At 36.1% G+C, this 18,008-nt stretch overlaps 1 protein-coding gene across 24 annotated transcripts in view; it reads left to right on the forward strand.

The window, feature by feature from the left end:
• Nucleotides 1-18,008, forward strand: part of PTPN13 (protein tyrosine phosphatase non-receptor type 13) — a 220,847-nt gene that overhangs the window by 146,041 nt on the left and 56,798 nt on the right. For 9 of the 24 annotated variants that reach the window (XM_011532165.3, NM_080685.3, XM_017008511.3 and 6 more), the window contains 6 exons: nt 1,279-1,461; nt 4,611-4,773; nt 10,115-10,532; nt 10,672-10,769; nt 12,654-12,710; nt 17,905-17,994. In XM_011532165.3, coding sequence (XP_011530467.1) covers nt 1,279-1,461; nt 4,611-4,773; nt 10,115-10,532; nt 10,672-10,769; nt 12,654-12,710; nt 17,905-17,994 — 1,009 coding nt within the window. The remainder of the gene's footprint in view (nt 1-1,278; nt 1,462-4,610; nt 4,774-10,114; nt 10,533-10,671; nt 10,770-12,653; nt 12,711-17,904; nt 17,995-18,008) is intronic. The other 15 variants (XM_017008512.3, XM_017008514.3, XM_017008513.3 and 12 more) reach the window with 2 other exon arrangements.

Below are 18,008 nucleotides of genomic sequence, written 5' to 3' on the forward strand. Positions count from 1 at the left end.
TGCACTCACAGGCTCAACACCATGTGGAAGCTGCCAAGGCTTGGGGCTTCCAGCCTCTGAAACAACAGCCTGAGCTGTACCTTGGCCCCTTTTAGTCATAGCTGGAGTGGCTGGGACACAGGGCACCAAGTCCCTAGACTCTACACAGCAGAGGGACCCTGGGCCCGGCCCACAAAACCATTTTTTCCTCCTAAACCTCCAGGCCTGCAATGGGAGGGGCTGCTGCAAAGGTCTCTGACATGCCCTGGAAACCTTTTCCCCATTGTCTTGGTGATTAACATTTGGCTCCTTGTTACTTATGTAAATTTCTGCAGCCAGCTTGAATTTTGCCTCAGAAAATGGAATTTTCTTTCTATCACATTGTCAGGCTGCACATTTTCCAAACTGTTATGCCCTGTTTCCCTTTTAAAACTGAACGCCTTTAACAGCACCCAAGTCACATATTGAATGCTTTGCTGCTTAGAAATTTCTTCCACAAGATACCCTAAATCATCTCTCTCAAGTTGAAAGTTCCACAAATCTCTAGGGAAAGGGCAAAATGCTGCCAATCTCTTTGCAAAAAAAAAAGAAAAAGAAAAAGAAAATAACAAGAGTCACCTCTGCTCCAGTTCCCAACAAGTTCCCAACAAGTTCCTCATCTCCATCTGAGACCACCTCAGCCTGGACCTTATTGTTCATATCACTATCAGCATTTTTGTCAAAGCCATTCAACTAGTCTTTAGAAAGTTCCAAACTTTCCCACATTTTCCTGTCTTCTTCTGAGCCCTCCAAACTGTTTCAGCCTCTGCCTGTTACCCAGTTCCAAAGTCACTTCCACATCTTCAGGTATCTTTTCAGCCATGCCCACTCTACTGGTACCAATCTACTGTATTAGTCCATTTTCACACTGCTGATAAAGACATACCTGAGACAGGGCAATTTGCAAAAGAGAGAGCTTTAATGGACTTACAGTTCCATGTGACTGAGGAGGCCTCACAATCATGGCAGAAGGTGAAAGGCATGTCTCACATGGAGGCAGACAAGAGAAGAGAGCTTGTACAGAGAAACTCCCCTTTTAAAACCATCAGATCTTATGAGACTTATTCACTGTCACAAGAACAACACAGGAAAGACCTGCCCCCATGATTCAGTTACCTCTCAGTGGGTCTCTCCCATAACATGTGGGAATTCAAGATGAGATTTGTGGGGGGACACGGCCAAACCATATCATACAGCTTCAATATCTTTATGTCACCATTTACCAAAGTGTATTGCTATGGTATGGTATTATTCCAACAGGTCTGCCAAAGACTGACAGAATATGGAGTTCATTTTCACCGAGTGCACCCTGAGAAGAAGTCACAAACAGGAATATTGCTTGGAGTCTGTTCTAAAGGTGTCCTTGTGTTTGAAGTTCACAATGGAGTGCGCACATTGGTCCTTCGCTTTCCATGGAGGGAAACCAAGAAAATATCTTTTTCTGTATGTCCATTTAACCTCTTTTCATTATATTTTCAAATGATATTACCAACTTCCAATGTAACATATTAACAGACTTTCCTTAGACTCTGCCATTCAGTGGGGATAATACATCTTAATACTATTTAACTCTTCCTTTGTAGTTGTGGAAATTATTATTGAGATTTTATTTATGTCTGGTTTTTTCAACAGGTGACTTTTAAGATTATTACACATTCCTGGCTGGTTATATGCTCAATTAACTTTAGTTAAATTACAACCAAGTTGAATTCTCTGAATAAGTCAGAATTTATTCTAGGGTTGTAACTTCTCACATGGAGAAATCCTCCTAATGTTTTTAAGAAAGATAGTTATCTTAACCCTAGTGAACCTTGTCTGGCCCAATAGTAAACCCCCTCGTAGCAACTGTTATTTGAATCTCAGAGGTACAGAGACTTACTGGATTTTATGAACTAGTCCCAGGACTTTCCGCAATTTTAGATTTTTAGTGTACAGCTCTCTATAAAGTTAGAAAATGATTTTTAGAAAATAATATGTTTATGGAAGATAGTTAGTGATAAAGGCATATTTTGATTTTGGACCTAGTTGGGACACCTGAACATTAAAGTTCCATTGGCAGACTTCAGAGATGAATAAAAAATATTAATATGTTCAGGTGTTTGTTTTCCTAGTGCTATTCAGGAACTACTGATACCTTTAGTTCATCTTTAGGCTAAAGTATAGTCTCAGCAAAACAGTATTTATAAAGTTACCAAGGTCCTGATGGATCTGGATAATCTTCAACCCTGAGACCATTCCTAGACCTAATGGTTAGTTGATTGGCTTCCTCTGAAACCAAGAGATATCACTAAGATTTCCAGATTATATGTTCTCCAGACCACCCACATCTTCTCAAGATTGTCAGGACCAAGAAATTACCTGGGTTTAACTTACCTTCCCCCAGTGGAAATGCTGGCAGAGCCCATGTCTGAAGGAAACCTTAGATTGATTAATTATAAATCCAGTTTTGGACCGTTTTGAAAAGGTGACAAGTCAAATAATCACACAGCAGTCAACTCTATGTAATTTGCCAAGCTACCACACTAACCCACATATATAGAACGAGCTGTGATTAGTTCATTTTTAAAGATTTGTGGGAATAGAGAATAGTTTGCATTCCCATGGAAATTATTCCTATATTTAATAGCATTCATTTTTCCTGAAGTTCTTTCTCTAACACAAAACTATTTTTTTTAACTCTCCTTTTTTCTTCTACTAACCTCTGGGGAAGTGGAAAAGTTACTATTTGGTCTTCTCATATCTCACAACTGAGTTCTCTCAAGCACATTTCTTATCCAGTCCATCCATTAACACTTGGAGAGAATCAAATATTCTTTGTATGTGTTTCAAGACTATACATCTTTCTTAGATATTAAATCATCTATACTATCACTTTTCATAATTAATATGAACCTCTAACCTATCTCTGGCATTTTTTGTGTGTGATATTTGCTGCCTTTGGGTGTTTTATTATAGGTAGTGGTTCTGTAGTTCTTTTGACTGATCAACTAAGAAGATTCTTTCTTTCATGTTTATGCTTGAATCAGTGAGAGAGTTTTACAACTATGGAGTTCAGTGTCTTTGCAAATTCCTTGACAGTGGTTAAGTGGCATGTTTGTTAGGGGAAAAAAAAAATGTTCTCCAAGTATTTGAAGAGTTACCAGGTATACTACTGATAATGAAGATACTAGTTTGTTGCTACTGTATCTTTAGCTCCTCTCTAATACTTACTAATTTCTGTTTCTAACAAAGAAAACAGGTTTAATCCTGGAGCTTTCATTGGCAACAATATCTAGCTAGAATTTAACAATGTTGTTATATTTCTAAAATTTCTTTGAATTTATATAAATAAGAAAAGTCCATTGAAAAATTTATAAATAACCAAGGCTAGAAATTGTAAAGATGACAGGATTGAAGTCTGGGTAATACTCTGTTATTACAACTTTTGAAAGCCTACTAAATTTGGCTTTTCCATGACTATTTCCGTATTTGAAGTAAAGACAAGGAACATGAAGTAGAATAATCTGCACAGTAGCCAAGAGCTAGAGTACAGTCTAACTGGACTTAAGTGGTTCTCCAGAGACATTAGTCTTAGATCCCCGACATGTTGAACACTGGTCTCTTAAGGCATGGGTCACCAGCAAGCCTTACCATATAGGTCACAAATTGGAGTATGCTCTCTTCCACAAAAGACATTCAGTTTTCAAGAAATTTCAGAGTGATAAAACTGATTTGATGATTCTCCTACTTTCTCTATATTTGGCACAAATCACCATCTCTAAATATCAATGTGTTTTATCTCTCAACCCAGCAGTTATGTTACCAGTACCTTTCCATCTCACATTTTCTTTAATTTTCCACAACTTCTATTCAGCCTTTATGCCACCCAGACTCTACTTGACTGAATCCTGGCTCTTATCATTATATATTAATAAAAAAATTATTGTTAAACTTTCATTTTCTTGTATCCAATAGAGTAGAACACATATTTATTATTTCCTTTTCAAACAGTTTTGGTGTTTGTAAACATTACCATAAATTCAAAATATCAATAATCTTATCAAAGGAATCTGTTTCCCTTGTTAATGACTGATATATACAATCTAGATTTAGGCTACAATTTCTGAAAGTGGCAAACGATGTTAATTTATTTCTTGCATTTGTTTATAATAATACAGTCATGTGCCATGTAACGATTTTTCAGTCAACAACTGACCACGAGCAATGGTGGTCCCATAAGATTATAATGTTGTATCTTTACCACACCTTTTCTGTGTTTAGATGTATACTACACAAACAATTGCCTACAGTATTTAGTACAGTAGTATGCTGTACAGGTTTGAAACCTAGGAGCAATAGGCTACATCATATAGCCTAGGTGTGTAGTAGTAAGCTAGCCCATCTAAGTTTGTTTAAGTACACTTCAGGATGTTTGCACAATGACAAAATCGCCTCATGATGTATTTCTTGGAACATGTCTTTATTGTTAAGTGATGCATGACTATATAGGATTATATTCATATTAGATGTAAGTCAATATCCAGTGCCTAACAAGAAATATAAATAATATCTCTACTTACTATAATTATGAATACCCTTGGTTAATATTGTAGAAAAAGAAAATCACATTGCAAAATACATCAGATGGAATAAAACATGGCTTCCAGACAGACAACAGTAAGATATGCCAGTACCTGCTGCACCTCTGCTCTTACCAGCATAAGTTCCAGCTACAGATGAGAGCAAGACAGAGCAACCAAGATGCCCAAGATATTGGTAAGGAGAAGCAGACTATTTCAGATGACTCCTGGGAATATGAATAATTTTTGCCACCAAGTTTTAAAAGAACTGCCATGATTAGGATGAAAACTTACAATGTATATACATGTTAAATAGCTAAATCAAGTCTATAAAGGTGTTACAAGTGAAGCCAATATTTCAATTTCATGTTCACCCTGAGAGAATACTCCTAGGGAGTACCTGTTGAAGTGTCCATTTTGTGCTTAGCAATGATAGGCTAGTTGATGTAAACATTATAAACATTTGGGCCATGTTCTCTACCCTCAGTAAGCTTATCCAATATTTGGAAGGGTAAGACCAACATGCTTGAAACAGCAATACACAATAGAAGTTCAGGATTTCAGCCAGGCACAGTGGCTCACGCCTGTAATCCTAGCACTTTGGGAGGCTGAGGCGGGTGGATCACGAGGTCAGGAGTTTGAGAACAGCCTGGCAAACATGGTGAAACCCTGTCTCTACTAAAAATACAAAAAATCAGCCAGGCGTGTTGCCGGGCACCTGTAATCCCAGCTACTTGGGAGGCTGAGGCAGGAGAATCACTTGAACCTGGGAGGCGGAGGTTGCAGTGAGCTGAGGTCGCACCATTGCACTCCAACCTGGGCGACAGTGCGAGACTCTGTCTCAAAAAAAAAAAATTCAGGATTTGAAGAACAGATTATATTGAACAGACTTTATGACCTATACTGTTAGAAGAGGGAAATCAGAGACTAGAGTACTGGACAGGTGGCACTTGAATTGGATATAAAGGATAAAAATAATGCAAGTAGTTTGGAGATAAATGGAAGGGCTTTAGAGATGAGGGAAAAAACACAGGAAACAAGGCAGAGGATGGGGGAAGTATGCACCCAGAACAGGACAGTGAAGAGACACACTGTATAGTCTTCTGGGTGGCAGATTTACTACCTATTAGTTTTACTTGGGTGCATCCCTGTTCTGAGATTGAGATGAATAATCATAGTACCCAATGTAAATGGTCAGGAGAATGGTTTATTTTCTTTTGAAAAGGAGCCAGCAGAAGAAACTCATCTGACTCTGGAAAAAATATCTCAATCAGAACTGAAATATTTAAATTTCAGAGAGATAAAACTGATTTGGTGATTTCTGCAATTAGAGATTAAAATTATACAAAATCTAATTCTACATAGTAAATTCTTATAGGTATAAGTGAAACAGTCAGAAGTATGTGATTTAAAAATTTAATGGAATAGCACTGATGACCTTGTGCAGCAGGGTCCTATGAATTCTTTACCCAAACTGTTTCACATTCAAAAAATGTTTTCCCCATAAGGGCAGACTGGGGCGATGGCAACCTATGACTAGATGTTTCTCAACCTTTCAGAATCATGATAGGGGTGGAGGTTGTATGCTGATTTAAAATGAAGATTCCAGGAACCTACGTAAAACTCAGAGAGCTACAGTCTTTGGGAATTTGTTCCCTAAAATCTGTACTTTAACAGGCTTTCCTCAGTAATGTTTTTTTTTGTTTTGTTTTTTCTTTTATTTGATACGGAGTTTCGCTCTTGTCAAAATCTTGTTTGGGTGCAATCTTGGCTCACTGCAACATTCGCCTTCTGGTTTCAAGCGATTTTCCTGCCTCAGCCTCCAGACTAGGGGATTACAGGCACCCGCCACCACGCCCAGCTAATTTTTGTATTTTTAGTAGAGACGGGGTTTCACTATGTTGGCCAGGCTGGTCTCAAACTCCTGACCTTCGTGATCTGCCCGCCTCGGCCTCCCAACTCAGTAATGATTTTTACACATGCTAAAATACAATAACCACTGCTATAATATCATTATTCTCTTTCTGCTTTGCTCTGCTAGAAAGTTTATATGCTCATATATTTTCAAAGTATAGTGAAATATCAGACCTATTAGAGCCATCAGCATTCTTACTTTGACTAATATTCTATTCAGTACAATCCATAACAACTGAAGATTACTTCATTATAGTTGTTGTATAGTGAACAGAATCAGAAGACAAAAGTTTGAAGTTAGTCTGTCATCCTCAACATTTCTTATACTGAAGAACAATATGGTATAGCAGTTAAGAGCATGAGCTCAGGAGCCAAATTGCCAGTGGCAAATTAGGCTCTGTCACTTACAAGCCCTAAAACTTTGGGCAAGCTACTTAAACTCTTTGCCTTAGTTACTTTATCTATAGAATGATTGCCATAAGATAATACCTATATCAGAAAGTTGTGAAAAGGAAATGAATTCATACGTGTAGAATCCTTTAAAACTACCTGGCACAAAGTATTCAGTAAATATTTACTGAAGTATTCATTATCATTGTCATCACCATCATCAACAATGTTTTACCTCTAGAAGATAGTACTACTACTATACTATATGCTGCTATACTATGTAATAGCGGTAATAGTAGCAGCAGCAGCAGCGGCAGCAGCAGCAGCAGCAGCAGCAGCAGCAGCAGTAGTAGTAGTAGATGAATGAATGACCTTAGGAAAGTAAGTGACTTTTTAGAATCTCAGTTTCTTCATCCATGGAGTGGGGCTGGGAATAATGTTGTATATATAGATATAACAGGTTTACCCCCAGGATCACAACAGCTATGTATCCTTGCCCTCAAAAGTGAAAGCACTTTAAGATGGTGTGATCTATATTTTTCCCCTTGGCTTATAAGTAACTGTCTGCCTGTTTATTTGTACTACAAGTGAAAACAACTGGTGTTATCTGTGGGCGGTTAATGGGCTAACAAATGTATGCTGCTTCTTTAGAGTCATAGAATATTGATGCTAGAAAGAACCTTACAGGTCATTAAGTTCAAAATTTTACTAATGGCAAAACAGGTTCAGAGAAGATAGTGTTTTGCCCTCATGTCATATATAGAGGTCTCTTAATTCCTAATCCAGGGTACTTTCTGTTTGATGAGTTTCCCAAGAACTGATTTGCATGGATTTAAGATTAATCAATTATTGAGCATTTACTATTTATAAGTGCACACTACTATGGGATAAGAGAATAAATGAAGTCCCTCTCATAAAAAGAGAATATGATTAAGCTGGAGATATAAGGAAGCACAAAATGGTACCAGGGACTGAACAATAGCAGAAACAGATTAGGAAGTATGGATTGCAGACAGTGTGGAGCTAGCGAGCCTTTGTGTTCAAATTTGAAACATTAGTATTAGGATACAGGCTCATTCTAATCTATGTTGGAGTTCTTTCCAGGTAAAAGGCAGTAGGAAAGACCAGATAAATGGTTGGTTTATGATCCCATCCCATATCCAAGAGTAGGCTACAAATGGATTTGAATAGCATACTCCCTAATATGTTCACAAAACTGACTAAACTGAGCCTGCTATCCTTATTCCTGCCAAAGTTTGGTCCACATTTTCTTTAAGGATGGAGAAACCTATTGGGTGTAAAGGCATTTCCTTCTGAAGACTTTATTTTGCTTCTTTGATTACAGGCTACTCGTAAAGTAAATGAAAATAGAATAGCATTATTTGCTCTAATAAAAACTATATTTTGAGGTAAAGATGATTATGGAAATTTTTTTTTTTAATGTAGTATCGCTCTGTTGCTCAGGCTGGAGTGCAGTGGCGCGATCTCAGCTCACTGCAAGCTCTACCTCCCGGGTTCACGCCATTCTCCTGCCTCAGCCTCCCAAGTAGCTGGGACTACAGGCGCCTGCCACCACGCCCAGCTAATTTTTTGTATTTTTAGTAGAGATGGGGTTTCACCGTGTTAGCCAGGATGATCTCGATCTCCTGACCTCATGATCCGCCCACCTCAGCCTCCCAAAGTGCTGGGATTACAGGCGTGAGCCACTGCGCCCAGCCTGATTATGGGAATTTTTAACAAAGGTGTATTTTTAAAAGTCTTTGTTTTTTAAGGTCTTGTTATAACTTGGTGCCCACTTCCACTTCAGAGAGAGATCATTGAATTTTCCTAGTGACAATGAGGCATGTTTCTTTAAACTTCATTCTGATGCATGAATATTAAAAACCTTTAATGTTTTCCTACCTCTTTATGCCTGAGAGAAAATATCAATTATTAATCTTCCTAGGAAGTAGAAGATAAATGAAACAATCCAAGAATCTAAGTCAGTAATCATTTGATATTTTCTTTCTTCCTTCTCCCCTCCCTCCCTCCTCCTCTGTCTCCTCTTCCTCCTCCTCCTCCTTTTTCTTCATCTTCATCATCATCATCATCATCATCATCATCACCTGGCACCCTTGAGGGAGACATTTTCTTTATAAAAGGAAGTTTTCCCAGTTGTTGTATGTAGCAGTCAAACTTAGTTCTGTGTAGAATGCAACAACATAGAATTGCTGCTTTCCAGAGGGCATCAAAGGGAGTGCCTTGTGATGTGGGTCACTAACTGCATGAAAAACTAAATCATTTGAAATCCTTTGCTCCTATTCTTCATTTACATATGCTGCATTGCTTTTGTTATTAGCCTCAAATATTAAAATATCACTGTGACATTGGTTCCTACAAAATAGAATAGCCAAACACTTGTTATAAAGTATCTGTAAATTTAGCCTCTATAAGAGAACTTTGGATGTGTATTTGGGAGTGAAAGAAATTGAAGCATAAAGAGATGCCCAGCTCCCTGATCATGTTAATTTACAGATACTGAAACAGACAGATTAGTACTGTTTGATTCTCCCATTCCTCTGTTGCCTCAGATAAATCCTTAAGTCAGCCCAGTGAGAAGGTGGGTTTGGCATAGTAGTGAAATAACAAAAGGAATAATTTGCCATAAATGCTTTTTCTTTGTAACAGCATTATTGAGATACAATTCAATACCATACATTCATCCATTTAAAGTATGCAATTCACCATCACCGCAATCTGCCTTAAGCTTTAAAAACTGTCTGGGCAAAACCCCTCTGCATAGCTTTTTCAGGTGTGTATTCACCATCTCAGCCCATCTAGGTTTCGTCTCTCCCTCTCCCTATCCTTGGGTGCTGATATTTTAGCAGAGACAGTACTAGGTTTGAAAATTTCTGTGTTAAATGTCATTCTCATTTCTAACTGAAACCTATAAGGAATTTGGTGTCAGCAAGCCTGAGCCCCAAACATTGTTGAGTCCAAGAAAATCATTAGATGAAGCAGGAAATGTTGAGTAGGCTGCAACTAAGAGAAAGCTAAAGAGATGAAAATATGTTATGAAAACCAGATCTTCAACCCTCCTTTTTAAAACCCTGATTGCCACACTTTGAAAGCTACCTACTTATGCTGGCAATCAAAATGATTAAAAACTGCATGCTGCTTATTTATTAACATAATTATTCTCATAAAAGTACTGTGGCGTTACCATCATGTAAAGCAATCCTATTTCCTTGTAGAGAGAGCTTCGTTTAGGAGCCTGAATCTCCAAGCAGAGTCTGTTAGAGGATTTAATATGGGACGAGCAATCAGCACTGGCAGTCTGGCCAGCAGCACCCTCAACAAACTTGCTGTTCGACCTTTATCAGTTCAAGCTGAGATTCTGAAGAGGCTATCCTGCTCAGAGCTGTCGCTTTACCAGCCATTGCAAAACAGTTCAAAAGAGAAGAATGACAAAGCTTCATGGGAGGAAAAGCCTAGAGAGATGAGTAAATCATACCATGATCTCAGTCAGGCCTCTCTCTATCCACATCGGAAAAATGTCATTGTTAACATGGAACCCCCACCACAAACCGTTGCAGAGTTGGTGGGAAAACCTTCTCACCAGATGTCAAGATCTGATGCAGAATCTTTGGCAGGAGTGACAAAACTTAATAAGTAAGAACATATTAACTAACCCAATTACATATTTGTAAATTCTACATTTCATACGTTTCTTTTTGTTATGACATTTTATTATTTTCACCATATTTTTTTACATTAACACTTCCCTCCTACCTTCCTTTTCCCTCTTCAGTTCAAAGTCTGTTGCGAGTTTAAATAGAAGTCCTGAAAGGAGGAAACATGAATCAGACTCCTCATCCATTGAAGACCCTGGGCAAGCATATGTTCTAGGTCAGCAAAAACAAGCTTACCTTCTTTGTCCCATACCTCATGCTCAGAGGGAAGTGAACAAGATCATCTTAATTATCAAATTATTTTGGGTTCCATGTCCTAATTGCCAAAACTGAATATAAATTTTAGGCTACTTAAAATGCACCAAATCAAATTACCACTTGATTTAACAAGTGATTGCTTCATGGTACAGACTATTAGCTTCTCTTTTTTTCCCCCTCAGACAGGGTCTTACTCTGTCACCCAGTCTGGAGTGCAGAGATCATGGCTCACTGCAGCTGCAAACTCCTGGGCCCAAGTGATCCCCCCACCTCAGCCTCCTGAATAGCTGTGACTACAGGAACGCAGTACCACATCTGGCTTTTTATATTTTTTTGTAGAGACAGGGTTTCACTATGTTGCCCAGGTTGGTCTTGAACTCCTGGACTCAAGGGGTCTGCCCACCTTGGCCTCCCAAAGTGCTGAGATTACAGGCTTGAGCCATCACGCCCAGTCTGTTAGCTTCTCTTGGTCACAGTTGCCATGACAGTCTTACTAAGACTGTCATGTGCCATTACTTTGGATTACCTTTTTTGGCTTTTCCTTTCAAGCCGATGTGAATGAACTCTGGTAATGCTATAGTTTTGGAGAAGCATTTACTTAGAATGCTTTCAGCTTAGCAGGAACAAAATTGTCTCTAAAACCTTAGATAATTTTATGAAATGTGCTATGGTTGATAGGTAGAAGTTTTTAAGTTGATTTCAGTTTCTTCAAATTCTCCCAGATAGCAGGGCATATTATTTAAGTGAAATTGTATGTATGTGTGTGTGTGTGTGTGTGTGCATGCACATGTGCATATATATCTATATATATGCACCTTTTAAGATGCTTACCTTTTATACATGCTACCTTTTAAGATAAATAGTTCAGGTTTCCTGTTGCCTTGTGCAACTTAAAAGGGAAACGCACTGGAGTCGATCTTTGAAAAGAATGGATGTTTAAGCACAGAGATCTGAACTACTACTCAAAATATGAAACAGCGTGGGAAACAAAAGGGAAATGAGGACTGTTTCCCTTCTGTTGTCTTACGAAATACTACTAAACTCTCTTCTTAGGCTCAAGGTTTGTTAATTTATCTCTAATTACCCAAAGTTTAAAAGCTTTTTTTATTCTATAATTGGATTCAGGGTATGTCGAGTAAATGAAGACAAAAGACAATTCTGCATTATAATACATAAATATTTATGGAAGCAACATTACTTTATTAATGTAGGCTTTCGCAACTTTCAGAGACTATACTATCAATTTAATTTCAGTCAGTTAAAAAAACTTAGATAAAAGGCAAGATTTCATTCTATAGGTAACTCTGTGTTGAAAATAGGCTAAGAGATTGATTTGATCTTTTAGGAAATACTTTTCAAAGTGTTCACATATAACGGGGCCTCATACATTCTAAACTATTTTCATTAAGAAGGCTTTGGTCTACATGAAAATTCATTACATATCCGAAGGAAAATAGTAAATACTCTATAGAAAACATAAAACACTCTTAAAGGAAATTTTTCTGCATTTTGTATTTATTCATTCTTACTGAATAATGAATATTCTTTTAACACTTGAACAAATGAAAAACTCATTCCAGTTTCATCATTTCATATTTGATATATCAAAGTATTGTCAGAAACAATATATTTGTGTTTAAATTTATGCTGCAAAATAAGTTATTATGCTTAGCTACTATTTAAAATAGTGAAAATGCCCATTGGAGGATGTTTTCTCAGTGTAAATACAAAATGTTGCTGCCTTATTGTTCTATTGATTTTTATGAGCTTATCAGAAGAAATCACTTCGATATCTAGCATCTGACCATCTTATGAAATGTCTAATATTTAATTTATGCCACAGGAATGACTATGCATAGTTCTGGAAACTCTTCATCCCAAGTACCCTTAAAAGAAAATGGTAGGTTTACAAAATGTTTTTCCCCTCATTTCCATCATTTCTTGTACCTTACTGAGATAGTCTTGGACCTAACAATGAAGAGTCTTGAGTTCCATGCCTAGGATTTGATCTTACATTGAAGTTAAAGGAGAGTTGTATTTTTCAGCATCATAATGATGTAATGGGACCTCTGATTTAGGCTAATGTTGATGAAATGACAAATTAGAGATAAGGACACTAATTGGGAAGCTAAGATAATAGTTCAGGTGGGAGATAATTTCTATTAAAAAGAGTTTTAACTGAGGCAGTTATTTTAAAGGGATGCTGGAGCTGAATTTTAGAGGGAAAGGAGGATTCATTCAGACGGAACAATAAAGATAAGCATTCCAGATCAAGGGCATAGCATGGTCAGAGACATGGAATCATGAGAAAAGAAATTTAGGGAACTGCAGGAGTCTCAGTATGGTGGCATGTGGGGGCCAGGGTAAAGTTTGAGAACTAAGTAGGGACCAGTTTTTAATCTTATGCTAAATATTATGAGGATATTTTGAAGACTTTAAATGCTGAGATTATAGTTTAGAAGGAATCTAAGAAACAAAATCGTAGGCAGAAGACCAGAAATGTCCAGTGACTTGAACATCACTGGCTTTAAAATTTTTAGAATTTAGATTGCAAAGTATTTTCATATACATTATCTTATTTGATCTTTCTAACAACTTTCATGAGTAGAAAATAATGTTTTATTACTATCCATACACTACTTTCCTCCAAAAATGTTTCAGTCTTGGACTCTTAAAGTTGAAATAATTAAAAGCCTGATGAGAAAGAAGCCATTATGTTAATTAAAATTATTAATACAGCTAAACTTGATGAAGTTGTAAATTTAGTTTCAATATTCCTGTAGCCAGGGTAAAACAGAAGGCATAAGACTGAACTATATAGAATTGCTGGGTATTTTTAGGTCAAAACTGTCAAACACCAGAGTGCTATTTTGTATGATTCTCATTCTCTAATAAAAATACACATACTAATTCTTTAAGACAGAAAAAATTTTCTTGGAATTAAAATTGCTTTTAAAAGTAAAACTACACACAATGTCTTAAATACTCATAGCAAATCAAGATGAGGTTTCTTTCCTTCTCATTTTATTTTTGAATGTATCCTCGAAAAATATGAGGGCCTATCATTAAAGAAAAAATTATTGAACTTATACTTGGACGTAAATTGCTAATCCTGTTATATAGCTTTCTAGTGATCAAACTCCTTACATGGACTGAATTTAGAATGCCTATATACCTGAAATACCTTAGTTATTAACATGTCCATATGGTAGTAATTATTGACTAACAGTTATTTAGTGCTTACTATGTGTCAAGCACTGTTCTAAGCACTTTTTATTATTTCTCATTTAATGCCCACAACAACCCTATGAGGTAGGTGTTAATGTTATTTTTTTTCACACGTAAGAAACCAAAGCATAGAGAGTTAAGTTGTACAGAAGGTCACAAAGTTAGCAGGTGGTAGAGCCGTGATTTGAACAAAGGCAATCTGTTTCTAGAGTCTACACTCTAATCTACTCTTTAGACCTCCTCATAATGTGATCATGCCTAAGTATTATTTCTCCCTGCTAAACTTTTGAAAGAAGCTGGATAATAATCTATTCAAGTATGATAATTTTAAATGTGTTTTAGCTTAGATTATGATGAAAAAGAATATGAATGTACATTGGATAGCCAATGAGCATGAATTTACATTGGTTAGTTTCTCTATTTAAACCTTCAGAAGGCTTAAAGTCTCACCTGCCCTGGACAGTAGGGCCAATCCACCTTCATATAGAGGTATGCCTCAGTTAGCTTGCAAACAAGGCTATATTTTCTTCAAAACGCTCTTTGAATCTGGCCAAGTAGCCTGAATTAGTACTCTGTTGAGAATCAAGTTTTCACATAATACAGCATGGCAAACATGTTTTTGCAAATAGTGTAACTAAGGATCAAAAAGTAAAATTACTTGCCCATGCCTCAAATATGGGACCTCTTACTCTAATTTCAATGTTCTTCCTGCTGGTCAAGATTATTAGATGAAAATTATAAATGGACATCAGTTAATATTAAATTATTCATCACTTAGAACAAGGATGAATGTATTATATTCGCTCTTACCTTTTATGGCCTCCAGAGATTCTTAAAGAATGTGAAATTTGAAAGAAAAGATAAAAAAGTCATGATTCTTCTAATCTCACACTTTGAAAAGGTGATATGGAAAGGATTCTAATCCCTTGATAAATTGTGATTTCAAAAACAAAAGTTGCTCAACTTAAAAAAAAAAACACTGGTTATTTTCCTTTGTAAGAGTAAAAACAAAAATATGTAAAAACTTTTCCAAGAATTATGTAAAATTGATTTTAATGTTTCTTGTTTTACTGTAATTATTATACAGCAATTGAAAAGTAACTTTTAGCTAAGTTTGTCATGTTGCTTCCTGAAGTGTCCAAACCACGAACTATAGATGGTCACCGACTTATCATGGTTTGACTTTACAGTGGTGCAAAAGAAATAAGCACTCAGTAAAAATTGTACTTTGAGTACCCTTACAACCCTTCTGTTTTTCACTTTCAGTACAGTATTCAGTAAATTACATGAGATAGTAACCACCTTATTGTAAAATAGGCTTTGTTTTAGATGATTTTGTCCAACTATAAGTTAACATAAGTGTTCTGAGCATATTTAAGTTAGGCTAGGCTAAAGCTGGGATGTTTAGTAGGTTAGATGTATTAAATGCATTTTTGACTTAGGGTATTTTCAACTTTTGATGGGTTTGTTGGGATGTTTAAAACTCACCACAGTTAAGTGCCTTTTTATTCTTAGTTGGGATGAGAACCAGAGCAACTCAACCATTAGTCTCCTCAAGCCATTTTCTCTTTCTTCTTTCATTTTATTCCGTCTTTACTGCTTGGGGTTTTGATTTTCTGGGAACTGTATGCCTAATGGACTTATTAAGTACCTACCATAGAATAATGGATTTCCTTAGTTTCCAAGTATCCCAATTCCTGAACGGTGGGTTATTAAATCTGAAACTTGAAGGAGGAAATGGAAATTTAAAGCAATGATCATCATTTAATCACTTTACAAAGCACTTTGCTTTAATCTGTTCTCTCTTACCACCTCATCAATGTGGTCTCTTAAAGGCTATACTGATTTCAGTTCCTAATGTGACCTCACCCCCTTATTTGTTTTATTTAATTTTATGGGTTTTGTTCTGTGTTGTTTTGTATTTGTTCTAGCTAAAAAATAGAACTAATTGCCTATTTTTTGATAAAAGGATCTTGGATACTTAAACTCATTAAACTAGGCATTAAATAATGGATGGGCTTTTGCTTAGGATCACCTAATATGTAAAGTACTTCACACCATTGTCCAATGATAGTTTTTGTAATTTAATTAATAAAATCATTAGAAATACCGAATTACCACTACTCTTATTGCTAATAACTAAGTTTTGGTCAAAAAGAAACAACAGAATAGGAATATATACTCTACAGAGATCTAGCAAACTTGCATCAAAACAGTATTGAGATACAAGGCTAATTCACTCCTGAGAGGAAATTATTGTTGTTATTGTCTTTTGAAATTAAAGGAATTTATTTATACAATATGAAGTATCACATTTACATCATTTAAGCATCAATACAAGTTTTGTGACAAAATTACTATTTGTTTTGTGACATATTAATGCAATTTTAAGTCCATGGGTGGTTATATGTTGCACATACAGAAATAAAGTCTGTTTTCATACTGATTTGGTTGTTACAAAAATGCATATGAAGGTCTAAGGAAATTCTGGCTTACAGTTTAGTGAAACCAAAACCTCTAATTTTCAGAAAGCTTCAATATAGTTGAGAAGTATGTAGAGTTGAATTTGAAAATTCACTTTACAAAAATATCCTTAGGAATATGTTGAACGAACTGACCACCACCAACACCTTCACACACAGACCAATTTGAACTGTCATTGTAATTGATGTTAAGAAGTGTGTGTTTGTGTAAATGCTTGAATTGCGAAGTAGATGAATTAACTTGATAAACATGTCAATTAAGTGTCATATTTATTGGTTTCAGAAGTTAATTGTGAATGATTAGCCTACTTTAAAAAACCTAGTGGAAATAAGAAAGAGTAAATTCTAGTTCTGATTATGACATTTATTCAATTTATTTAACTAGGATTTATCAAGGACTGACTTCAGGCATTTTAATGGGCACTGATACTAGTTATTATGTTGAGCAGGTCACTAACTGTTACTCCTCATCTGCAAAACAATGGTTAAAAATCTCTTTACTTACTTGTGAGATTGTTTCACAAATAAAATTTGAAATGAATGAAGATCCTTTGAGAGTACATGTGCTAGACAAGGAATTATTAATGGAACTATTAATAGATCCAGTTTCTGACCAGGTACCGTGGCTCACACCTGAAATTCCAGCTCTTTTGGAGGCCTAGATAGGAGGATCACTTGAGGCCAGGAGTTCAAGACCAGTCTGGGCAACATAGACTCCATCTCTACAAAAATAAAAAATTAGCTGGGCATGTTGGCACGTGCCTGTCGTACTAGCTATTCAGGAAGCTGGGGTGGGAGGATCTGCTTGAGCCCAGGAGTCAAGGCTACAGTGAGCTGTGATTATGCCACTACACTTATCCTGAGTAGCAAAGCAAGACTCTGTCTCAAAAAAAAAAAAAAAATCCAGTTTCCTCTTGCTATTTTACTCAAGAACTTACTAAGAATATTTTACCAGTTATAAATTAAAATGCCAACCATTAATTAGAAGGAATTTTTTAATATATTAAGCACTGTCAAATTCAGGGAGTTGATTATGGTGTAACAAACAGAAAACCTAAATTGAAAAGTTCGGCTCTTTCCTGTACTAGCTGACTAAACTTGTGCAAATCATTTAACCTATTGAGGTTTATTTAATCATTTGTAACTGAAATATACTTATTTCAAAAGAATAGCTTATGAAGAATAAATGTAATACGTAGTCATTTTATAAATTATAAATCACTATAAAAATATAAAATGTTAACAGTATCAGTAAACTTAAAATATATGTTTAAGTGACTGAGCAATTAACACACTTTGTTAACATTTAAATTGTTAAAACAAGCTGACAGTCTTAATGCCTGAGCATGTTATATTTATTTTTAAATTATAAATTCCCAATAGATGTGCTACACAAAAGATGGAGCATAGTATCTTCACCAGAAAGGGAGATCACCTTAGTGAACCTGAAAAAAGATGCAAAGTATGGCTTGGGTAAGTCACCGTGA

Source organism: Homo sapiens, chromosome 4 (genome assembly GCF_000001405.40).
Source record: "Homo sapiens chromosome 4, GRCh38.p14 Primary Assembly".
Classification (NCBI taxonomy): domain Eukaryota; kingdom Metazoa; phylum Chordata; class Mammalia; order Primates; family Hominidae; genus Homo; species Homo sapiens.